Source organism: Homo sapiens, chromosome 15 (assembly GCF_000001405.40).
Source record: "Homo sapiens chromosome 15, GRCh38.p14 Primary Assembly".
Classification (NCBI taxonomy): domain Eukaryota; kingdom Metazoa; phylum Chordata; class Mammalia; order Primates; family Hominidae; genus Homo; species Homo sapiens.
This window is the reverse complement of record NC_000015.10, coordinates 56,369,966-56,397,014: the sequence shown is the minus strand read 5'-3', so window position 1 is coordinate 56,397,014 and position 27,049 is coordinate 56,369,966. Positions and strand designations below refer to the sequence as shown.

Here is a 27,049-nt window from a genome sequence, read left to right as displayed (position 1 = left end):
CCAGTTCCAAGGTCACTTCAACACTTTTTGGTATCTTTTCAGTAGCGCCTGACTCTACTAGTACCAATTTACTGGATTAGTTCATCGTCATGCTGCTGGTAAGACACACCCAAGACTGGGCAATTTACAAAAGAGAGAGGTTTATTGGACTCACAGTTCCACATGGCTGGGGAGGCCTCACAATCATGTTGGAAAGTAAAAGGCATGTCTCACATAGCAGCAGACAAGAAAGTTTGCACTGGGAAACTCTCCCTTTTAAAACCATCAGATCTCCTGAGACTTTTTCGCCATCACAAGAACAGCACAGGAAAGACTTGCCCCCATGATTCAATTACCTCCCACCGGCTCCCTCCCGCAACAAGTGGGAATTCAAGATGAAATTTGGGTGGGGACACAGCCAAACCATATCAAATGTTTTATGCTAACTGAAAAAAAAAAAAAAAAAACAGATTCAAAAGTCTATATCCAATGCGATTCTATTTATGTGACATTTGGGAAAAGTCCAAAATTTAAGAACCAAACACAGATCAGTGGTTGCCTGGTGGTGGAATTAGGGAAGGCCTTCACTAAATTCACAGGGAATTTTGGGGGGCTGATGGAACTGTTCTATGTCTCAATTATAGTGATAGTTATATTACTGCATACATTTGTCAAAACTCATAGAATTGTACACTAAAAAGTGTGAATTTACTGCATATAAATTTTGTCTAAGTGATTTTGATATTAAAATTTATTACAAGATAAAGCTAATTATACAAGACCAAAATGTTTAAAAAGCAGGGTTTTTAAATATGACCATACAAACGAGAAATGTAAGGGTACTAATAAAGGGGGCACATTTTCTTACTAAATCTCGGGATATGCTATATTACATAATTCTTATCGTCACTACATTTTACAAAGCAATCTCAAACAGTATATTTTTATTTTCACAATGGCACACTAATATAAGCTAGGATAGTTTATTTAAAATACATTCTCCCCTTAAATATGACACCAAAAGCACAGGAAACCAAATAAATATTAGATAAACTGGACTTCATCAAAATTTAAAACTTTTGTGCCTTTAGAGTACCATAAAGAAAGTGAAAGACAACCCACTGTAGGGGAAAACTATTTGCAAAATATACCTGATAAGGGACTTGTATCTAAACACATAAAGAACTTAAAAGTTCTTATTATTCAGTAATTTTTTCAAATCCAATTTAAAAAATGGGCAAAGACCTTAACAGACATTTCTCCAAAGAAAATATACAAATGCCAATAAGCACATGAAAAGATGTTCAACATCATTAGTTATTAGGGAAATGCAAATCAAAACCACAATGAGGTAACCCTTTTACACTTGCAGTATGGCTATAATCAAAAAGATAATCTAGCAGATGTTGGTGAGGATGTGTAGAAATTAGGAGCTTCATGCACTACTGGTAGGAATGTAAAATGGTACAGGCAGGTTGGAAAACAGTCAGCAATTCCTCAAAAGGTCAACATAGGATTTCCATATGACCCAGCAATTCCATTCCTGGCTATATAACCAAGAGAAATAGAAACATACGTGCACACAAAAACTTGTACATGAATATTCAAAGTATTTAAAATTGTCAGACAGTAGAAACAACCCAAATAACCTAAAGCTACGAACTGATAAACAGATAAATTAAATGTGTTATATCCATATAACAGAATGTTACTTGCCAATAAAAAGAAATAAAATACTGATAGGGGCTGCAACATGAATGAACCTTGAAAATATCTTAAGTAAAAGTCAGTCACAAAAGACCACATATTATATGATTCCACGTATATGTGATTTCCAGAATAGACAAATTTATTGAGACATAAAATAGAATAGTGGTTGCCTAGGGCTGTAAGGGATTGAGGGGAGCAGGGTCAGGGTGTGGTGGCTAAAGGGTATGAAGTATCTTTTAGGGATTATGAAAATGGTTGTGGTGATAGTTGCACAATTCTATGAATACACCAAAAGCCATTGAATTGCATACTTTAAAAGGGTGAATTACATCTCAATAAAGTTGTTAAAAATATTCTATGTAAGGGGAAAGAGTTTTCAGTAAATACTAATAAAATAACTGAACTGTCAAAATGGCATCTATACAAATGTGTAACCTTAATAATTTTCTTGTATCTGTGGCATTAAGTTAGGAAAAATACCAAATAATTACCCTTTCTACTGAAGACAACTGTTGCTGTAATCCATCATACTTTTTGTTTGCTTCTTCGAAAAGAGTTTTGTATTTTTCTACTTGAGACTGTTGCATATTAATTGTTCGCTGCTGTCTCATAAAATCTTCTTCAAAATTTTTTACTTGAGACTTTAAATTCTGAATTTCATCCTCCTATAGTTATAAAGTTATAGATTATGTGAAAAAATATGTAAGATTTGTTATCAAAACAAAGCAGAAAAAAAGACGTTTCATATGTTCTTTGATATTTATACACGTTTCATGAAAAACAAATTAGTCTATTTTTATCTTCAAAAATGGAAGTCAAATGTTTTATTTGCATTTAATAGCTTACACTACATTTGTAAGACTAATATAGAGAATTCTAATTGTAGCAAGAATTTAAGATATTTCAGCTCTGTGAAAATTCAACATCTCAGAATAAAGTTCAGTACTTATATACAATTTTTGAATTCAAAATTTAACTATGATTTATATCTAAATAAAGTAATTCAAAAAATGTAATTGAAATTGCTCCTAAAATATCTTTGAATATTAGAGCCTTTTAAGAGGTTTTTAAAACTTACCTTTTTATTGCATTCACATACAACATTATCCAATTCCTCCTGCATAACATGGAGTTTGGCCTTTAGAAATCTGATCTGTGCTTCTGTGAATTTAAATAATTATATTTACTGTCTTTTGCTGAATCTAAGATGACATCAATTGTAAGACAGACCATTACTTTATAAAGAAGAAAATACTCAAGATGGGGAGTCAAATAGGAGATATCTGTTAGGGGGCACTATAGGTACTCAACAGTCCTAATGAAAAGGTCAATGACGAATAAATCCACTCAACAGAAAGAAATCACAGGTAGTATTCACATAAGTTTGCAGACTAAATTCACACGCACCAGGGTGGTCCAAACTACATCAGATTATTTAAAGTGTTCTCAGGTCAGTAATGTCCCTGAGAGTTTGGCAGAAACAAACATAAATCTTCTCTAGCAAAACTCAGCTTCAGTGCAGCCACTGTGATTACAAAATGCCACTGACTGTAACACAGATCCCAATTTCTGAGCAGTTAAAATGTAGTATATGTGTCTTTGAAGCAAAGAAATACACTAATACCTTACTGTCTAAGCTTTCTCCCACAAACCTTCAGGATCTATCTTTGGTACTTTACTGCCAGCAAAAGTTCATTATTCAATAATATCAGCAGTAAATCTTTGAAGTTTATAGGCCCATAAAGTAAATAAAGTGAAAACTGAACTTAGAACTCACTCATAAGTCATTCAGTGATTTGTTCAAAATGGCATAGTAGGAATATTATAAAACAACCCTTACCATCATGGAATTTATCTTGAGGAAACACTTGGAACTGCTCTGAGAAGTCATTAGGACAAATCTCACTAAGCCATACACATGTGACGTGCAGAGCATAAAACATCTCCATACACACTTCCAGCTTTTTTAAGTGCCCTCAGTGTTATCATGGAGCTGATGAATTATGGTTGGCTCTAACCCTACCTAGGTCTCTTTGGCCTCAACTCTCCTACCAGCCTCTCATGTAACTCCAGGTGAGTAGGGAGTAGAGGGAAATGACAAATTAAAAAGGGTGAAGTTGACAGTAGTTGGCCTCTGAGGGAAAGAGGGAAGAAAAAATAGGAAAGCATGACTTTTCCCATTTCTTTTTCTCCCTAACTCTAACCTTAGTAACTCTACCTCAACTCTAACTCAAGGAGCAGAGTGCTCCCATGTCTGGAGGCCCACAGTACTAAACTCTGCTCCCCACTCGACCCTAGCTTTAATCTTACAAAGTAATCTGTGCTCCCAAATTACCTCTTGGTCTTTTTCTCCCACACATAACCAAACCATTCCAAGCAATCATCTAAAATAAGAGAAAATTCTCCCAAAAGAGAAGACACCTAGGCCAGTGATACTAAAAAGGGAACACAGGGAGGCAAAGTTCTAACAGGGCCATGGGACATGGGACCATGTTCCTCTACCGAGGAACAATCAATGCCTGTGCATCACATCCTCTAAAGCATCTTAGAGAGACCTAAAGGCAACTTACTGCTCCATTTACCTTCCCTTACCATAACTAGCCCTAGAAAGCTTGATTAGATCAGTAAATATAGTAAGTGCAGAAGAAAACTGCTCCCTACTTGTGATTAGTAACACAATAATTATTATACATATAAATTATGATTTTTCACAGAATCAGAGAATTTTAAAGATAAACTGATATGGTTTGGATCTGTGTCCCCACCCAAATCTCATGTTGAATTGTAATCCCCAGTGTTGGAGGTGGGGCCTGGTGGGAGGTGAATGGATCATGGGGGTGGTTTCTCATGAATGGTTTAGTATCATCCCTTTTAGTAGTGTCCTCATGATAGTGAGTTCTCATGAAATCTGGTTGTTTAAAAGCATGTAGCACCTCCCCCGTCTCTTGTTCGTGATCCCACCGTGTGAGATGCCTCACTCCCTGTTTGCCTTCCGCCATGATTGGAAGTTTCCTGAGGCCTCCCCAGAAGCAGAAACTGCTATGCTTCCTATACAGCCTGCAGTACCATGAGCCAATTAAACCATTTCTTTATAAATTACACAGTCTCAGGTATTTCTTTATAGCAGTGCAGGAACAGACTAATACATAAACTTAATGATCATCTAATACAAACTACTAAATTTTCAAATGAATAAACTGCTATTACAGAGGGGCTAAGTGGCTTGCCTGTAGTCACAATTAATTGTATTATAGTTCAGCAGTAACTAGTTCATATATACTCAATTGTCTTACTTTTTTGTTTCAATAGCATAGGAGGCTCCTCATAAATTTACTAATGTTTTCAGTTGATCAAAATTTAGTATTATTATTCTAGTGATATGCAAAGAATGAGTTAATAAGAAGAAAAATTATATTCATTAGAACACTCATTTGATTGTTTTACCTGATGCAATGTCAATTCATTTGTCCTTTTGCATGTGTTGATTTAACATGCAATAAATAAAATATATTAACAGTAAATGAAAAAATTCAGAAAAACTTTTTTAATATTTTAACAATAAGCAATGGGTATTTTAACTTAAGTTGAAATGTATTCAATCAAATCAGTACAATATAGTCTTTTTTATTTTTACTTTTTATAATGGAAAATATGAAACATAAAAGTAGGCGAGTTCAATGAACCTCATTTACCCACCACCTATCTTTAACAATGACTGACCCATGGCCAATTTTATTTAATCTATAATCCCATTCATTCCTCCCTCCACCACATCCTACTAGATAATTCTGAAACAAACCAAGACATCACAATACATTTTTTTAAATGGAAGAAATAGTTCCCCAAGATTTCTTCTTCTAAGTAACTGTGCTATAAAGATAAAAATAAAAAACTAAAGAAAATCTACCTGTTCCAATGTCATTACTAACACCAGAAAAAATATCATCTATATATTCAGGTAAGCCTTCTTCCTCCAGTTGCCCTTCAATTTTGCTAATTGTTTTTGCAAGGGAAAAGTCTGAGAAATCCTCTGGAATGGCAACATCGTCGGCAGTTTGGACATCAGAGTATTTCAATTTAACACTAAAAAATAAAAATTAAATACATATGTATGTATATACGTACATATGAACAAAATAGGAAAGGTAGACAGGATATATGCCTTTTACCCAAATAAGCAGATCAAAATTATTATAAATTTAAATTTATGATGAAATCTGTAATTGATATTTTTAAGGATTATATTACAAGAGACTACTATTACACATTTTAAATTTATGATGAAATCTACATGTGATACTTTCAAGGACTATATTACAAGAGACTTAGCAGATTTTTGGTTTTTATGAATCATGTGACCACAGAGCTAGAGAAGGCTTTATGAGGCCAGATGGTATAGACTTTGCTTCCAAATAAGGCAATACCAAAACTAAGAGTATTGCACTTGGCCTCCTAGGTCAAATCCAGCCTATGACTTTTAAATTTACACGCTTCTAGAGAAAAACTGTACAAACTGACATCATCCTGGCCATAATTCTACAAACAGCAAAGAAAAATACCCCTTGAGAAAGAATTACAGAGTGAAGAGCTAATAGCTCAATCAAACAACATTTTTTCCACCCAAAGAAACACATTCTTAACCACAATCAATACTAACCAAAAAGTTGGATGTGAATTTTTTTTAATGAAAAGGAGAAGACAGACAAAATCAAACTCATTTCTAAAGGCACTGAGGAATAGTCCAGGCCTAATTCATTGACACATCAACAAATTTATGGTTCTGAAAGCCAAGTTCACTTTTAAAACATAAGCAAAGGCTTCACAATTCATTTTAATTTTTTGTGGGTACACAGTAGGTATACACATTTATGAGGTACATGAGATGTTTTGATACAGGAATGCAATGTGAAATGAGCACATTATGGAGAAGGGGGTATCCATCCCCTCAAGCATTGTTTGAGTTACAAACAATCTAATTACACTCTTTATTTTAAAAATATAATTAAGTTATTATTGGCTATCGTCACCCTATTGTGCTATCAAATAGTAGGTCTTGATCTTCAGAATTCTATTTGAAAAATCAACTTTTTTTAAAAAAATGTGAAGTCTGAAAAGATAACCCTTTCCAGTTATATATGCATGTATGTGGCATGTATGTTCTTTTCTTCAATCTATTGTATAGTTAATTTCTGTTCCTTATCACTTCACTCTATTTTTTCCATCCCTTTTATTAAAAAAAAAAAGTTATTTAAACAATTAAGACACAAAAGTGAACAAAGATTTTTCCAGAATTACAATACAATGATCAGCCTGGGTAAGTAATAGACAAATAAATTTAATAACTTACTGAAGATGGTTGGTGCAACCCAATCCTCCACCTTTTCTAGAAGGCATCCTATCCTAGGGAGCATCTTGGGTCCCTTTTTATGCTTATAATACTAAGAACCGTCTTGAATTCTTTCTCACCCAAAACAACAAAATGTAAATTATAATTATATTATAGTCCTATTTAGAGCATGCCAAATCATTCTGTAGCTCAACAGACAAAATAATATATGCATTTTGTCAAATACTCAAAAACTACACTATTGAGCCTATTTGGGAGAACTAGGCAGAGATTAAAAAAAAAACCCAGTTGTAGTCACAGTTCTAAGAGAATAACTCACTAGAAATAACATTTATAAAAATTTTAGATTTAGCAATTTTGCTTAAGAGAACAATATAAAATATTTGTTAACTGCTGCAAAACATTCCTGAGTAGAAAATGTTCTAAATTACTGAATGTGGATAAGATATATGTGGTGTAACTTAATGTTTAGGGTGTAAAAAGATCTGGAAAAACAAACAGAGCTTAATAATTAAGAATGATGGTATTGTGAATTACAAAACTAAAAAAAAAGAAATACTTTGAAAACTATACTATACCTTGAATTTGTTTTCCTTCCTTTATTTGCAGAGTGTAATTTGTTTTGAACCTTGTTTACAGGATCAATGTTTTTGGTCTTTGGCTACATGAAAAGAATTGAAAGTATTGACTAATTAGAGTCTAATCATTTGCCAAAGAAAGCAATTCTGTAACACATAGAATTTTGCTACACAGAAAAACTGCTATTTGCTATTTTCATGGAATTACCAAAAATGTGTTTTCAAGAATATCACAACTGTATAGCTGGAAAAGACCTAGATAACACCAAAACCAAGAAATTCAAGTATAAGGAAAATGAGTCCTAAAGATTCAATGGTATTCAGCTAGCCAGTGGAATGTCATGAATAAATCTGGACGTTCTGACTCACAGAATTTAGTTCTCCTCATGAACCAATTATTCCCCAGGCAGACCTCCCGTGGCCTTCAGGTATACAGTTCCCTTGGCTTAGGTCTCCATGGATGGGAAACATAGATCCCACTATGTTCTACACCTGGAAGAGTGATCTCTACACTGTCACTATTTAAATGAACAAACAAACTTTTCAAATCACCTTCTTTGTATATGAGTATCATTCTTTTTCAAGTCTTCTCTCTACTAGATTTAAGCGTCAGGAAAAAAAAATAAGCCTCAGTTTACAAAGTCATTTCACCTAACATTTTTTCCACTATACCTCCAAATTATTCAGTGAAATTATGAGACAACAAAGGATTCCATTTAGTTTATGAGGGACACTTCACAAATGCATCCCTCTGAGTATCAAGGTTCATATTCTATTTCTGTTGAGTCATACCCCTTCTCTGCTTTGTCTAAGAAAAGTCTAAAAAATATCCGGAGTTCTACAGAATATAATTGCATTCACAGAAAGTTTGATTTCATACCTTAGTTTCTGAATGAAGATGAACTATCCCTTCAGATGGTAACAGACCTCTACAGGCCAAAAATAAACATTATACATTAATAATAGATGACACTGAGCTGAGACAATGAAATTCAACAATTATATTTGAAAGGGAAAATATTCAACAATCAAACAGACTTTGCTATAATTCTAGTTACCCACATGTTAATTTATTTTGAATGAGTACCATAAACAAGAAAAATGCTTTGGTTAAATAATTCACCTTTGAGAAGATACACTATAATGCCAATATTCTAGTAGGAAAATGTAGCAAAAATTTTAATGAATGGAAATCATAAAGAGTAATTGTGGGCTATCCACAGCAATTACCCATTTTACAAATAATTCACCACAGGGCTTTTTATTGTAAGCCCACTCAATGTTACTGTTCTTTTAATCCACTTAAAACACCTGGTTAGTGCCTGTTTTCCTCATTATATTGTGAACTCTATGAGGGTAGAAATCACGTCTGCCTTGTTCAATATTCTATGCCTAGTCAATTTAAAAGTTTATATGCCAGGTACTACTGGCGTAAGTATTTGTTGAGTGCATGAATAAATACACGTAAAATGCAATTCATTTTTATACACAAGGTTTTCAAAATATATTTGTAGTTTCAAACAAGGAGTGTTTATGGAGGTCTGCAAACTATGGCCCACAGGCTGAATCCACCCACTCACTCATTTATGTATTATCTATGGCTGTTTTCACACTACAACCTTAAAGTTAAGCAGGTACAACAGACTATACAGCCCACAAATCTAAAAATATTTGCTATCTGCCCCTTTACAGAAAAAGTTTGCCTAACCCATTGTCTTGGGCATTGTATTTATATCTCTGAAAACATACCATGTTAGCATCCATTATTGCTATGAAAAAACTCCACTATATCCCCTGAGAACTCCTAACCATTGGAGAAGACATACAACTAAAATTATTTTCCATCAGATGCCTCCCACTTAGCTAGCCATGCATAAATTTTTTCATATTAAATACAAAGATATACTTAGATAAATAAACCTCTTAACTATTAGAAATACCTCTGGGAAGAAAAAAAGGCTTTCAAAATATGTTAAAAATTACAGAAACTAAATCATTCTCACAAATGACATGAAAATGTTTCCAAATGTTATACAAATTTTAAGTGTCCTCTTTAATCTTCCTCATTTTAAATTAATGTTTGTCATTTTAGTACATTTTCTGTACCTTTCATTCCATTCCCCAACATACATGCATACATATCAGCCAAAAGACATTTAAGGGTTATCTGTCTCCATCAGATTTCACAGTGATATTACTTTGCTAGTGTATTTTCATGAAAAGTAAGCTATAGTATGGTATTCTTACTTTTGTTTAACTCCATGAAATGTCTGTTTGTAATATGATGGAAATAACTGTATGGTAAACCATGCTTCAAGCAGACTGGAGGATACGTATACTACGTTATTAGGAAATTAAACTCTGGTTTCCCATCACATTTTTTGACAGAGTCATCCTGGGTGTTGAAGACCTATTAAAATATATTCTTCCTAATTATAATTATTTAGGTGGAATATCATTGTTCCAACCTGAAATGAATGGTTTCTTTATAGAATTATCTCCCATATTCAGGAATTCCCAACTGATCAACAAATGCCATGTTTTACATGGTAAAAGCCATCTGTTCAAACAGTTGCATTAAAAAAAAACTGATAGGTAAACAGAGCGTCATCATCACAACATCATCATCTGTTGTTAGCATCATTTCAGTTCTTTAGTTTACTGGATAAACATCATGTCTAATCTTATGTATAATCCAAAGTTTGGAATTTTGATAACTTAAATATCTATTTTTCATAGAATATCACAGTATTACATATAATAAAGATAAGTGGTTTCATGGTATATGTACGCATACATATGTCTATCAAAATATAAAAATGTGTAATTGATGTACTTAAAAAATACTCAAAAGCAACACATATTAACTTCTTGGAAGCAAGATCAGGTCTGTTTACTCACCACTGTAATACCAGTAGCTAGAACTGGCACTAACAGTGTTCAAAAATTATTTTTTTCAGGTTTGAGATATAATTGATACATCACACAATATACTCTTTTTACATATACAGGTCAATATGTTTTAGCTAATGTATATGGTCACATAACCACCACAACCACCAAGACAGAGAGTATTTCCACCATCTCAAAAAGTTCCCTTGTGTTCCTTGGTAGTCCCCTAACTCCTACTCAAGCCCCAGACAACCACTTTGATTTCTGTCCCTAAAGCTCTGCCTTTTCCAGAGCATCAAATAAGTGAAAACATAGATTATGGACGTTTTTTAGCCTGGCTTCTTTCACTTAGCAACTATGTTGTTATTCTATTAGTAGTTCATGTCTTTTTATTGCCAAGTAGTATTCCATTGCATGGATATACCATAATTTGTTTATCCAGCCACCAATTGATAAATATTTTAATTATTTCCAGGTTTTGGTAATTATGAATAAAATTGATCTAAAAATTCACATGCAGGTTTTTTCGTGGATATATGTCTATATTTCTCTTGGGTAAATATCTAGGAAGGGAAATACTGGATCGCATGCAATAATTATTTTTGAATAAATGAATAATGTCCCAATATTTCACATGAGCCAAATATACTGCCATGTCAGTAATAAGCTTCTCTTTTGTCTCTAAACCCTGTAGGGCTATGCACCTCTTATAGCCTACTTCTTGATCTTAGAATACTGGAAGGCGGGGTACCCATAGTTGTTTTAATATTTTAAAAGCCAGAAATAATTATAGTCCATTGTTAGAGTTTCTTTGCTGATAAAACTTTCCCCCAAACTAGTGGGTTTCTTCCCTATTTAATTTCAGCCAGTTCTACATGCCATTACATCACCTACAATTCTTTCCAAGACTAATTATTTATTTATTTCTTCACCTGACCTCTCTTTCTCAATTTAAAAATGGGTTACTTTAACACTGTCAAGCTTCTAAGGAGAGACTATAACTTTAGTTAGGTCTTTGCCATGGGCCATTTTACCCAAATGAAAAGTTTCACTATGTGCCATTTAATCTGATCCTTGCATTGAGGAGCCTTAATCCACTGAAAAATTGTATCAGTAGTCATGAAGTCCACATGTTTAGTCTGATATTTGTCTCAAGGTTGAATTTTGATAGGCTTTTGTTCCTTACAGATTTTCTCAATTTTACCTTGTAATTCTTGAGGTCTAAAACCAGCTTACTCCACAACTCCACAGTTACAACAAGGGTAATCAAGAGTGTGCTGTTGGCATAATGACAACCATATAGATCAATGGAACAGATATGAAAGTCCAAAAATAAAACCATATGTCTGCAGTCAACTGATTTTTGACAAAAGTGCTAAGAACATTCAATGGGGAAAGAACAGTCTTCTCAACAAATAATGCTGAGACAAATGGCTATCCATGTGCAAAAGAATGGAGGTTGACTCTTATACCACATACAAAAATTAACTCAAAATGGATCAAAGAACCTGAATCTAAGAGTTAAAACCATAAAGCTCTTCAAAGAAATCATGGTCGTAAATCTTTGTGACTCTGAATTAGATAATCAGGTATTCCCTTTTATTTCTGCTTACAAATCAGCCAAATGTTTCCCAAACTTGTCTCTTTAACAGGACATACTGTTGATATTGTGTTTCAGCCTCTTTCCCCAGAGAACAAGTTCATTAGACACCTGTTGTGCCTCCCAATTTACCACAGATGATAGTTTTACTAAATTCATTGCCACTACATAATATTAATCCTTTATCTTTCCAGCCTCCAATATCAGTTTCCTTGCTGGCTCCCACCTAACTGCTAAGGTAATGCCACACTTCTGAATTTTTGTTATGCAGCATTCCATTCCCAATACCAATTTCAACATTAGCAAAGATAAGCAGGATAGTAACCTAAAAATTCCAGTGGCTTAACCCATTCAATGCAGCAGTAGTGACGAAGAAAGATCCTTTTTTCTACATGGTCCACACACGGTCACCCAGACACCAGGCTAGGAGATTTTACCAATTGGAATTTTACTCATCTTCATGGCTGGAAAGTCATTTGGAGGTCCACACACCAATTTTTGTCTGTTTTGGCTTGGAAGAGATTAACTAAACTTCTGTTCATAGCCCAATGACAACTGTAAGAGACTTGGAATGTTTGGTGATCATCATTCCGTCTGCTACAATATGATTTCATAGTTTTATTCACATCGATTATGTACTTTTCCTGTTTCCTCTCTAAAGTTTTAAAAATGAGGACAAGAATATACATTTCAAAATAATATTTTGAAAATTACATGAGATAAAGGGCTTGCACTGTGTCTGATTGGTATAAGCCCCCTATATATACATTATTCTTCAAATTATAGATTTTTCAATGTTTGCATGCAAAAAAGATCTTACATAACGATCCATGTACATCCTTTTAAAAGAAGGTGCTTGAGAATTTAAGATACTTACCTTAAACTGTAATCATCTTCGTCATCACATGATTTCATTTGTGTTGAAACAGGCCTAGATCGTACTTCTTGCCGATCTCTCTTAAATGAGTAAAGATAGGTAATATATCATATAGAAAAAAAACCAAACCATTAAGATATATTCAAGTGCCTCTCTGAACATTCATCATTTCAGAATTGTCCAAGGTTTCCATAACATAAAGGCACGGAATTCTAAATGCTATAGTATGAAGATAAGGTCTATAACACTAGTTGCACCTTTCATTTGTTCTGGGTTAAAAAATTCCATCCTAAGGGGAAAATGTAAGAATATCAAGGCCTTTACATAATATTTCTAACTCCAGTTTCCCCAGCCCTTTAGAGTCTTCCAGCTTATACAGCATACAGCAGAAATTAGAAGGAGGCACAAGAAATTTAAAAAATAAATTCACTAAATGGGTAGAAAAATTTGTCTCAAATCAGGAAAAACTTCAATGTTGAGAAGACTGTGAAGATGCTAAAAGTGAAGTATCAGGGGTAAAAGCTTTTGGCAAAGACACATCAAGAAATGAAAGTGAGGCAAGAGGGTGGAATAGAAGCCTACACTATTCATTCCCTCTGCAGGAACACCAAATTTTAACAACTACCTGCACACAAAAACATCATCACAAGAACCAAAAATCAGGTGAGCAAACACAGTACCTGGTTTTAACTTCATATCATTGAAAGAGGCATTGAAGAAGGTTGGAGAGACTTAAAAAGCTGACACCACCCCTTCCTGACTCACTCCTGCAGTGGCTGTGCAGCCTGAAGAGTCTGTGCACTTAGGGGAGGGACAGCACAGTGACTGGGCGACTGTGCATTGAACTCAGTGCTGCCCTGTCAGAGTGGAGAGCAAAGTCATGCGGGGCGGAGACTTTGAGTACCCATGCATGGAGGAAGCATCTGGACCAGCTATAGCCAGAGGAAAATCACCCATCCTGTGGGTCAGAACTCCAGTTTGTCAGCAAGTCTTGCCACTACTGGCCAAAGTGCTCTGGGGTCCTAGGTAAACTTGAAGGGCAGTCTAGGATACAATGGCTCCATTTTCTAGGCAAATCCTAGTGCTGGGCTTGACTCAGAGCCAGAGGACTAGGCTGGCACCTAGGGAGACACCAATTGTGACCTAGGAAAACACCAACCAGGGCACTAAAGGATTGCTTATGCCATGCCTTCCCCAACACCAGGCAGTGCAGTTCACAGCAACAAAAGTGTCTCATTCCTTCTGTTTAAGGAGAGGAGAACAAAAAGTAAAGAGGATGTTATCTTGCATCTCGGATACCACCTCGGCCATGGAAGACAGCCAACAGGGTGCCAGGCAGAGTCACGCAGCCACCATTACAAGCCCTAGCTCCTAAATGACATTTCTAGACACATCCTGGGCCAAGAGGGAATCTGCTGCCTTGAAGGGAAGGACCCAGTTCTGACAGCATTCATCACCTGCTAAATAAAGGGACCTTGGGCCCCAAATAACCAGCAGCAATACCAAGGTATTAATAGCAGGCCATGGGCCTTGGGCTCTGAGACATACTGACTTCAGGGGTGATCCAGCACATTCCCAGTTGTAGTGGCTACAGTGAAAGACTCCTTCTGCTTGTGAAAGCAAAGGGAAAAGTAAAGGGGCCTTTGTCTTGCACCTTAAGAACTAGCACAGCCACAGCAGGGCAGAGCACCACGTGGACTCTTGGGGTGCCTGATTCCAGGATTTGACTCTTAGACAGCATTTCTAGACTTGCCCAGGGCCAGAGGGGAGCCCACTCCCTTGAAGGGTGAGTCCCAGGCCTGGCAACATTCACCACGACCTGACTGAAAAGCCCTTGGGCTTTAAGTGAACACTAGCAGTGGCCTGGCAGAACCCTGCTATGGACTGGTGGTGGTGGTGACCACAAGGAGAGGCTCCTCTGCCTGTGGAAAGGGGAGTGAACAGCAGGAAGGACTTTATGTTGTAGTCCGAGTACCAGCTTAGCCACAAAACACTAGAACACCAGATAAATTTCTAAGATTTCTAACTTCAATCTCTGACTACCAGACAGCATCTCTGGACCCACCCAGGGCCTGGGGGAACTCGCTACCCTGAAGGGAAGGACACAAACCTGGCTGGCCTCATCACCTGCTGATTGTAGAGCTCTAGGGCCTTGAGTGAACATAGGTGGTAGCCAGGTAGTGTTTATAGCAGGTTGTGGGCAACATCCAGTACTGTTCTGGCTTCAGGTCTGACGGAGCACAATCCCAGTGGTGCTGGGCACAGGGGTGCTTGCATCACCACACCCCTAGTTTCAGACAGCTCAGCACAGAGAGAAAGAGACTCCATTTGTTTGGGAGAAAATAAAGGAAGAGAACGAGTCTCTGTCTGGTAACCCAGAGAATTCTTTCAGATCTTATCCAAGACCACCAAGGCCTCTACAAGTCTGCAAAAACCCTAGTGATATTGGGCAGGGGGCCCAAGTGCCTTTAAATAACTGGAAAGCCTTCTCAAGAAAGACTGGCACAAATAAACCCAGACTGTGAAGACTACAGTACTTAACTCTTCAATGCCTAGACAGTGACAAACATCTACAAGTATCAAGATCATCCAGGAAAACATGACTTTGCCAAATGAGCTAAATAAGACACCAGAGACCAATCCTGGAAAAACAGAGACATGTGACCTTTCAGACAGTGAATTCAAAATAGCTGTTTTGAGAAAGCTCAAAGAAACCCAAGTAACAGAAAAGGAATTCAAAATTCTATCAGATAAATTTAACGAACAGATTGACATAATTAAAAAGAATCGAGAAATTCTGGAGTTAAAAATGCAACTGACATACTGAAGGCTGCATCAGAGTCTCTTAATAGCAGAACTGATCAAGCAGAAGAATTAGTAATCTTGAAGACATGCTATTTGAAAATACAGAGGAGACAAAAGAAAAAAGAATGAAGCATGCCTACAAGATCTAGAAAATAGGCTCAAAAGGGCAAATATAAGACTTATTGGCCTTAAAGAAGAGGCAGAAAGAGAGAGGTAGAAAGTTTATTCGAAGGGATAATATCAGAGAACTTCCCAAACCTTGAGAAAGTTATCAATGTTCAAGTAAAAGAAGACTATAGAACACCAAGCAGATTTAACCCAAAAAAGACTGCCTCAAGGCATTTAATAATCAAACTCCCAAAGGTCAAAGATAAAGAAAGGATCCTAAAAACAGCAAGAGAAAAGAAACAAACAACATACAAAGAAGCTCCAATACATCTAGCAGCAGACTTCTCCGTGGAAACCTTACAGACCAGGAGAGAGTGGCATGACATACTTAAAGTGCTGAAGAAAAAAATATAGATTTTAACCTTAGAATAGTATATCCAGCAAAAATATCCTTCAAACATGAAAGATAATAACAGACCTTCCCAGAAAAACAAAAGTTGAGGCATTCCATCAACACTAGACCTGTCCTACAAGAAATGCTAAAGACAGTTCTTTAATCTAAAAGAAAAGGATGTTAATGAGCAAGAAGAAATCATCAGAAGGTACAAAAGTCACTGGTAATAGTAAACATACAGAAAAACACAGAATATTATAACACTGTAATTGAGTGTAAACTACTCTAAAGTAGAAAGACTAAATGATGAGCCAATTAAAAATAATAACTACAACAACTTTTTAACTCATAGACAGTACAGTAAGACAGAAACAGTAACAACAAGTTAAAAACTAGGGAGATAAAAGTAAAGTGTAGAGTTTGTATTAGTTTTCTTTTTGCATGTTTGTTTATGCAATCAGCGTCAAGTTGTCATCAGCTTTAAACAATGGGTTATATGATAGTATTTGCAAGCCTCACAGTAACCTCAAGCCAAAAAACATACAATGACCACACAAAAAATAAAAATCAGGAAATTAAATTATACCACAAGAGAAAATCACCTTCAATAAAAGGAAGACAGGAAGGAATGCCACAAGACAACCAGAAAACAAATAATGAAATGACAGGATTAAGGCCCTTATCAGTATTAACACTGAATGTAAATGCACTAAACTCTTCAATCAAAAGACGGACTGGTTTAATGGATGATAAAACAAGACCCCATGATCTGTCGCTTACAAGAAACATACTTTACTTAATAAAGATATATATATAGACTGAAAATAAAAAGGGTAGAAAAAGATATTCTACACCAAAAAAAAAAAGCAGGAGAACCTATACTTAGACAAAATAAATTTCAAAACAAAAAATGTAAGAAGAGACAAAGAAGGTCATTATATAATGCTAAAGAGGTCAATCCAGCAACAGGATATAATGATTGCATATAAATGCATGCAACACTGGAGCACCCAGATACATAAAGCAAATATTATTCGAGCTAAAGAGAGAGCTAGACCACAATACAGTAATAGCTGGAGACTTCAGCACCCACTTTTAGCACTGGACAGATCTCCCAGAAAGAAACTCAACAAACATCAGACTTAATCTGCACTGCAGAACAAGTGGACCCAATAGACATTTACAGAACATTTCATCCAAAGACTACAGATACACATTATTCTCCTCAGCATGTATATCATTCTCAAGGACAGACCATATGTTAGGTCACAAAACAAGTTGTAAAATATTTTAAAAACTGAAATAATATCAAGCATCTTCTCTGATCACATGGAATAAAACTAGAAATTAATAACCAGAACTTTGGAAACTATACAAAGACATAGAAATTAGATGATATGCACCTAAATTACCAATGGGTCAATGAAGAAACTAAGAAGGAAACTGAGAAATTTCTTGAAACAAATGATAATGAAAACACAACATACCAAGATCTATGGGATACAGTGAAAGCAGTACTGAGAGGGAAATTTATGCAGCTGTAAGTGCCTACAACAAAAAAGAACAAAAACTTCAAATAAATGACTTAGCAATGCATCTTTTCTTTTTCTTTCTTTCTTTTCTTTTTTTTTCTTTCTTTCTTTTTTTTTTTTTGTTTCTTTGAGATAGAGAGAAACTCTGTTGCCCAGGCTGTAGTGCAGTGGCATGATCATGGCTCACTACAGCCTAGACCTTCCTGGGCTCAACAATCCTCCCTCCTCAGCCCCTCAAGTAGTTGGGACTACAGGCGTGCACCACCACATCTGACTAATTTGTATTTTTCCTAGAGATGGAGTTTCACCATGTTGCCCAGGCTGGTCTCAAACTTCTGGGTTCAAGTGAGTCACGTGCCTTGGCCTCCCAAAGTGCTGGGATTACAGCTATCAGCCACCACATCCAGCCAGCAATGCATCTTAAAGAACCAGAAAAGCAAGAACAAACCAAACCAAAATTAGTAGAAGAAAAGAAATGAAGATCAGAGCAAAAATAAATGAATTTGAAATAAAGAAAAGATCAATGAAACAAAAAGTTGGTTTTTTTTAAAGATGAGCAAAATTAACAGACTAACAAAATAAGGGAGATGACCCAAATAAATAAAATATGAAATTAAAAAGGAGGCATTACAACTGACAATGCAGAAATTCAAAGGCTCATTAGTGGCTACTATGAGCAACTATACGCCAATAAATAGGAAAATCTAGAGGAAACAGATAAATTCCTAGACACATACATACAACCCACCAAGATTGAACCATGAAGAAATCCAAAACTAAACAGAACAATAATAAGTAACAAGACTGAAGCCACAATAAAAAATTTTCCCAGTAAAGAAAAGCCCAGGACCTGATGGCTGCACTGCGAATTCTATCGAACATTTAAAGAAGAACTAATACCAAACCAACTCAAACTATTCCAAAAATTGGAGGAGGAGGGAATACTTCCAAACTCATTTTATGAGGCTAGTATTACCCTGAAACCAAAACCAAAGACACATCAAAAAAAGAAAACTACATGCCAATATCTCTAACGAATATTGATGCAAAAATCCTCAAAAAATACTAGCAAACAGAATTCAGTTTGCTGAATATTAAAAAGACCATTTGTCATGACCATGTGGGATTTACCCCAGGGATGCAAGGATGGTTCAACATACACAAATCAATCAATGTGATATATCATATCAACAGAATGAAGGACAAAAACCATATGATCATTTCAACTGATCCTGGAAAAGCATTTGATAAAGTTCAACATCCCTTCATGGTAAACACACTTCAAAACATGAGTATAAAAGGAACAGACCTCAATATAATAAAAGCCATATATGACAGACCCACAGCTAGTATCATACCGAATGGGAAAAACTGACCGTCTTTCCTTTAAGATCTGGCCTACTTTCACCACTGTTATTCAACATAGTACTCAATGTCCTAACTAGAGCAATCAGACAAGATAAAGAAATAAAGGGCATCCAAATCAGAAGGAAGAAGTCAAATTAACCTCATTTACAGATGATATGCTCTTATATTTGGAAAAACCTAAAGACTCCACCAAAAACTATTAGAAATGATAAACTCAGTAAAGTTGCAGGATACAAGATCAACATACAAAAATCAGTAGTGTGTCTGTATGTCAACAATCTAAAAAATAAATAAAAAAGTAATCCCATTTACAGTAGCCACAAATAAAATACCTAGGAGTTAACATAACCAAAGCAGTAACAGATCTCTACAACAAAAACTATAAAACATCAATGCAAGAAATTGAAGAGGACACAAAAAAATGGAAAGATATTCCAGTTCATGGATTAGAAAAATCAATATTGTTAAAATGTCCATACTACCCAAAGCAATCTACAGATTCAAGGCAACCCCTTGCAAAATACCAATCGCATTTTCACAGAAATAGAAAAAACAATCCTAAAATTTATATGGAACCACAACAGACTCAGAATAGCCAAAGCTACCCTAAGCAAAAAGAACAAAACTTGAGAAATCACATTACCTGGCTTCAAATTATACTATGGTGCTATAGTAACCAAAACATCTGAGTACTGGCATAAAAACAGACACACAGACCAATGGAACAGAATAGAGAAAATCCAGAAACAAATCCATATACCTACAGTGAACTCATTTTTGACAAGGTTGCCAAGAACATACACTGGATAAAAGACAGTCTCTTCAATAAATGGTGCTGGGAAAACGGAATATCCACATGCAGAAGAAGAAGACTAGACCCCTACCTCTTGCCATATACAAGTATCAAATCAAAATGTATTGAAGACTTAAATCTAAGATCTCAAAACTATGAAATTACTATAAGAAAACATTGGGGAAACTCTCCAGGACATTGGAGTAGACAAAGATTTCTTGAGTAATACACCACAAGCAAAAGTCACCAAAGCAAAAATGGACAAATGGGATCACATAAAGTTAAAAAGCTTCTGCACAGTGAAGGAAACAATAAAGTAAAGAGACAACCCACAGAATGGGAGAAAATATTTTCAAACTACCCATCGACAAGGGTAGAAAATATAGGGAGCTCAAACAACTCTATAGGAAAAAAAATCTAATAATCTAATAATCCAATTTAAAAATGAGCAAAAGATCTGAATAGACATTTCTCAAGAAAAACACACACATGGCAAACAGGCATAAAAAAAGGTGTTCAACATCAATGATCATCAAAGAAATGCAAATCAAAACTACAATATCATCTCAACTCTGATAAAATGGCTTATATCCAAAAGACAGGCAATCAGGCAATAACAAATGCTGGTAAGGATGTAGAGAAAGGGAACCCTAGTACACTGTTGGTGGGAATGTAAATTAGTACAACTACAAAGGAAACAGTTTGGAGGTTCCTCAAAAAACTAAAGTTATCATATGATCCAGCAATCCCACTGCTGCGTATAGGTCCAAAAGAGGGGAAATCAATATATCTTTTTTTTATTTTATTATTATTATACTTTAAGTTTTAGGGTACATGTGCACAATGTGCAGGTTAGTTACATATGTATACATGTGCCATGCTGGTGTGCTGCACCCATTAACTCGTCATTTAGCATTAGGTATATCTCCTAAAGCTATCCCTCCCCCCTCCCCCGACCCCACAAGAGTCCCCAGTGTGTGATGTTCCCCTTCCTGTGTCCACGTGTTCTCATCGTTCAATTCCCACCTATGAGTGAGAATATGCAGCAATTGGTTTTTTGTTCTTGTGATAGTTTACTGAGAATGATGATTTCCAATTTCATCCATGTCCCTACAAAGGACATGAACTCATCATTTTTTATGGCTGCATAGTATTCCATGGTGTATATGTGCCACATTTTCTTAATCCAGTCTATCATTGTTGGACATTTGGGTTGGTTCCAAGTCTTTGCTATTGTGAATAGTGCCGCAATAAACATATGTGTGCATGTGTCTTTATAGCAGCATGATTTATAGTCCTTTGGGTATAAGCTGAAACTGGATCCCTTCCTTACACCTTATACAAAAATTAATTCAAGATGGATTAAAGACTTAAACGTTACACCTAAAACCATAAAAACCCTAGAAGAAAACTTAGGCATTACCATTCAGGACATAGGCATGGGCAAGGACTTCATGTCTAAAACACCAAAAGCAATGGCAACAAAAGACAAAATTGACAAATGGGATCTAATTAAACTAAAGAGCTTCTGCACAGCAAAAGAAACTACCGTCAGAGTGAACAGGCAACCTACAAAATGGGAGAAAATTTTCGCAACCTACTCATCTGACAAAGGGCTAATATCCAGAATCTACAATGAACTCAAACAAATTTACAAGAAAAAAACAAACAACCCCATCAAAAAGTGGGCAAAGGAAATGAACAGACACTTCTCAAAAGAAGACATTTATGCGGCCAAAAAACACATGAAAAAATGCTCACCATCACTGGCTATCAGAGAAATGCAAATCAAAACCACAATGAGATACCATCTCACACCAGTTAGAATGGCAATCATTAAAAAGTCAGGAAACAACAGCTGCTGGAGAGGATGTGGAGAAATAGGAACACTTTTACACTGTTGGTGGGACTGTAAACTAGTTCAACCACTGTGGAAGTCAGTGTGGCGATTCCTCAGGGATCTAGAACTAGAAATACCATTTGACCCAGAAATCAATATATCAAAGAGATATCTGCACTTCCATGTTTGTTGCAGCACTGTTCACAATAGCCAAGATCTGGAAGCAACCAAAGTGTCCACTAACAGATGAATCGATAAATAAAATGTGATACATATACACAATGGAGTACTATTCAGCCATAAAAAATAATGAGGCCCTGTCACTTGCAACAACATGGATGTAACTGGAAGTCATTGAGTGAAATAAGCCAGGCACAAAAAGACAAACTTCACATGCTCTCACTTATTTGTGGGATCTGAAAATCAAAACAACTTAACATATGGAGATAGAGAGTTGAAGAATGGTTATCAGAGACTGGGAAGGGTAATGGGGGATGCAGGGGTGGGAGATAAGGATGGTTAATAGGTAAAAAAATATATAGTCAGAAAGAATGAATAGTACCTAGTATTTGACAGCACAACATGTTTATTATAGTCAAAATCATTTAATTGTACATTTTAAATTAACTAAAATAGTATAATTGGATTTTTTGTAACACAAAGGATAAATACTTGAGGGGATGGATACCCCATTTTCCATGATGTGATTATTACACAATGCATGCCTGTATCAAAATATCTCATTTACCCCATAAACACTTACTATGTAACCACAAACATTAAAAATTTTAAAAAGAGAAAGTGAGTAAATAAAAATTAAATATGAGAAACCTTATATTGTTTGCTTCTGCAGGGGTAGGAATCCATTCCCCAACCCCTTTCCTAGCTTATCCCAGTTTTCTATTCTGTTTTTTATTTGCAGGGGGAGATTCTTTTTACAGGGCTCTCTGAGTAGAAAACGTAATGAATCTGTCATTCTACTATAACGTGGGGTCCTTTTGTACAAGTATTTTCCTGCTTTTCAGACACTGGCAAAAACTAAAAGATGAAATAAAAATATTTGTAGTAAAACATTTAATTATAAATTAGTAAAACATATAAGTATAAATTTAATTATAAATATTTTTAGTAAAACATCTAATTATAAATTATAAAATACAAATCTGTAACCATTATCAAAATATATTACTTGAAATGTTATATATGATACATTTCTTATTCCTAAACTAACAAATAATCATGGATTTGTATAAGGCATGAAGATAAAATATTGCCTAGGTTTCCTTCCCTGCTTCCATCAACTCCATTTTGGGGCATAGGGAGGATAGAAAGTAAGAATCAAAATTAACTAAGAACTGATAAAAGTTTTAAAGTAGACTACTCCTCTAAGGAGAGTTGCTCTATTCTATCAATTAATAATGAGAATTTATAATGAGAATTTAGATGACTGGAGAATCTAAATGGAAAGTACTTTTTCAGTGGCTTTTAGAAAATGTGTGCTTACTAAAAACATATACATATATACATTCCTATACCTATGCATATATATTCATGTTCAATTTGTAATAATTCATTGAACTGAACACACATGCTTTGGCTAGTGTTTTGTATATATGTCATATATCAAATGAAAAAGATAAAAAACTAGCATTTATATAGAATTATTAATAATTGTACATATACTTACTATTATTTCCTTAGCTTGTTGAACCACGTCAGCTGTTTTTGCCTGCAATTCTGCATTTAAACGCCTAAAAGCAGAAAATAATTGGGATATACTGAAGATCTTAACAAAAATAAAAAATAAACTTCAGCAATTACACGTTATCAAGTGACGTAATCAACAAATGCCAAAATATACATATGGCATTCTTACTCTAAAATGAACACAGCCATTAAGAACTTATCCTCAACTCCCCATGATTCCTCCTTCCTTGTAGTAGGAACTCAAACACTAAGTATTAGCCTTTCTGTGGCCCTCTATTAATTTCAAGTGACGTAACTTATCTAATATATTTGGGAAGAATAAGCTGGGTGAGTTCAACTCTGTTCCACTCACCACCTCCTCGTTATTAGCCTACCTGCAAAGAATGCAAATTCTAACCTTGCTTCTCCAGAGACAGGCCCTGCTCTAATGTGGGCAGAAGTGGGCACGGTATGGGGGAGACCTGCTCTGGTTTGGGGTATTGCTATAACTGGGGAGCTAAATGTGAGGTTTAGTGAGCAGACCCAACGTGGCTCACACCTCAGATACATACTTTAATATCAAGCTTCCTCGGAAATAAAGGTGACTATTTTGACCTCTACCTGTCACTCCTTTTTTAATTATGATTTTTCATTCTACTTGGAATCTAGCAAGAATAGAAATACTATTTACTTGGTCCTATATTAAGACTGCAAGGATGACAATATTATTGAAAAAAATTGTTTTTAAACGAAAAACTGCCCATAATCCTACCACCACCATCCATTTTTATTTTTAATATTCCCTTCCAATTTTCATCTATAGCATACACACAATTTTGTACTGTTTTCCCACAGCAATATAAAAGGAATATCTATCTTCACGTAATCTTTAGAAGCATGTTAAACTGCTATACGATTAAATTGCAATTAAGATAATGTACTGAACTCTGTCCCTATTGTTAAGTCCCCTTTTCACTTTTAAAGGTTAACACCATAATAAATATATTCAAAAGCATATAACTTTTTTCTCCTGTTGAGATGTCACATTTCTAGACCACCTAGGATCTTCTGAGGTTTTGTGAAGGAGACATGTTAAGGATTTTAAAAATTAGATATCTTGTTTTTCTTAGACATGGGATTCAGAAGTAACACAAAACACCATCTCCACCCCCAGGGAAAAAAAAAGGGGGGGAGATTAGTACCATATCCTTTAACAGTCTGAAGCTTTAAGAAATATTTTTATATCTTAGGATTACCTGGTCAAAAGAAAAATATCTAAGAAAGACTTAAAGGTGCCTTTAAAGTGCCATTACCTGATTTTTCAAATTTCCCTAACAAGGACTTAATCACAAGGATTAAGTTTCCAATTAATATAGTGGACCAAGATGACTGAGAAGACTATGCTACTCTAAATCCATGGAAATGCCAGATAAAATGTAATGGAGGAAATATTGCTAAGCTCAAACTCAGGCAAGGGAAATGCCCTGGTACTAAGAATAAAGCAGCAATTCAAAGTGAGAGCAACAAACAGGAACAGAAGCCAAAATAGCTTAAAAGCTAGAAGCTGATGTATGTGAGTCATGAAGGGATACACCTGTGAAACACAGACTACAAAAATTCTACCCACAACCTTAGGTGAGCAGAAATGAAACTAGAACCACAGGTAGAAAAGATTCTCTTGTGAGTAATTAAAACAAACAAGAGGGAAGTCCAAATTCATCTTATCTAGGTGATACAAGGACACCATGGAAAAACTTTAAAATAGAAGAAAGCTGACGTGGAATCAATCAAAACTCGAAACTAGTAAAGGTAAATTGAAAACCACCCTATAGGAACATTTACTCATCTAGAATATATAGGACTCTCTCAAAAAGCAAACTGCTAAAGATGACTTCAGAAAGGTAACAAATTGCATAAAGAAACAAGCCACTGAAAGAGAGAATCAGCAGATGTGAGGAAAGGGAAAATTTATACTATAAGAACAAGAGATAATATAACAATTAAAAAAAGATTTTAAAATTAGCATTAATTTGGAAAAAAAAAATGCACTTAGAAAAACATTAGGCAAGAGCCAGATTTTATCATAAAAGAATGCTGAATTTGAAAAAGATCCAAATATAAATTACATAAATGAAAAACACAGTCACTGAAATTAAGAACTCAAGGAAATTTGACAGATATGTTGAACAGCATAATGGGCATAGAAGGAATGAGTGAATTAGAAGACAGATATAAATAAATCACCTACAAGGAGATACAGAAAACAAGGGGATAAAAACACAAAAGACAGGTTAACATCCATTGAAGACAGATGTTATGTTCCTACTTAACAGAAGTTATAAAAGAAATCCCAGAGAGGCCTGGGTGCAGTGGCTCACATCTGTAATCCCAGCACAGTGGGAGGTGGAGGGAGGATCACTTGAGGCCAGGAGACCAGCCTGGCCAACATAGCGAAACCCCGGCTCTACTAAAAATACAAAAATTAGCCAGGTGTGGTGCTGCATGCCTGTAATCTCAGCTACTGGGGAGGCTGAGGAATGAGAATCGCTTGAACCTGGGAGGCGGAGGTTGCAGTGAGCCAAGATCGTGCCACTGCCACTCCAGCCTGGGCAACAGAGCAAGGCTCTGTCTCCAAAAGAGAAAAAAAGAAATCCCAAGAGGAGAGAATGACAGTATTTCAAGAGCTAATGCTGAGAATTTCCCAAACTGAAGACATGGATCTCATGAAGAATAAAGAAAACAAATCCACCTGTGTATACATCACAGTGAAAATACAGAATTTTAAAGAGAGTACTCCCTAAACTACCAAATCATTATTTCAAAACAACAGAGAAAAATAGTCTACCAGCATAATTATCTAAAAAGCTGACAGCAGATGGCTCATTAACATTTCTGACATTCTAACATTTCTATCCTTATATTACCAACAGACAATATAAGGATATCTTTAATGGGCTGAGAAGGAAAAGCTGGCCATCTAGAATTACATTCAGATAAACTGTAATTGAAGAATAAATGCAAAGTAACAATTTTCAAAAAGACTGGAGAGTTTAAGACTCAGGTTTTCACAAAAAGTAATAAAGGGTCTACACTTCAGGAAGGAGGAAATTGAATCTGGAAAAAAAGAATTATGAAGATATCTGAAAACATGATAAATCTAAATTAGTACAGACTATAAAAAAATTGATGATTAACTGGGTGTGGGTGTATTCAAAACAACAAAGTAAAATATTATCTAATTTAAAAGACAGAGGACACCAAGTTAAAGCATTCTAACGTCTTTCCACATCACTAAAAATAAAGACATAATGAAAACCCATTCAATCCAGCAGAAGACAGACAAGAACCAAAGACAAGACATAATAGAAAATATAAAAAATAAGGTGGCTAAGACAACTTCAAGTTATGTAATAATGTAAATATATTAAATTCACTTATTAATAGGCAGAAATTATCAGACTGGTTATAAAAAGAATGCTCTTACTGATAAATGACATACAAAGTTTGAACATAAAGGGATGAAGAAAGATAGACACTGCA

General features: G+C 35.3%; 1 protein-coding gene across 33 annotated transcripts in view, besides 1 other annotated feature; it reads right to left on the bottom strand.

Moving 5' to 3' along the window:
- Positions 1 to 27,049, bottom strand: part of TEX9 (testis expressed 9) — a 216,038-nt gene that overhangs the window by 62,996 nt on the left and 125,993 nt on the right. For 14 of the 33 annotated variants that reach the window (NR_169562.1, NM_001385042.1, XM_047432466.1 and 11 more), the window contains 7 exons: positions 23,511 to 23,574; positions 12,984 to 13,063; positions 8,495 to 8,543; positions 7,615 to 7,697; positions 5,597 to 5,772; positions 2,768 to 2,850; positions 2,181 to 2,354 (listed from right to left, as the gene is read on the bottom strand). Coding sequence is in view for 29 of the 33 variants with exons in the window: in XM_047432466.1 (XP_047288422.1) it covers positions 2,181 to 2,354; positions 2,768 to 2,850; positions 5,597 to 5,772; positions 7,615 to 7,697; positions 8,495 to 8,543; positions 12,984 to 13,063; positions 23,511 to 23,574 (709 nt within the window). In the remaining 4 variants the exon portion in view is untranslated. Of the gene's footprint in view, positions 1 to 2,180; positions 2,355 to 2,767; positions 2,851 to 5,596; positions 5,773 to 7,614; positions 7,698 to 8,494; positions 8,544 to 11,710; positions 11,784 to 12,431; positions 12,530 to 12,983; positions 13,064 to 17,777; positions 17,839 to 23,510; positions 23,575 to 27,049 lie in introns of those variants that run through there. The other 19 variants (NM_001385043.1, NM_001385040.1, NM_001385044.1 and 16 more) reach the window with 11 other exon arrangements.
- Positions 25,824 to 25,963: an enhancer, noted in NCBI's record as "active region_9454". NCBI's record gives its function as "activates an Ori minimal core promoter by ATAC-STARR-seq in GM12878 lymphoblastoid cells {active_cell/tissue: GM12878}" and the evidence as "EXISTENCE:reporter gene assay evidence [ECO:0000049][PMID:35858748]".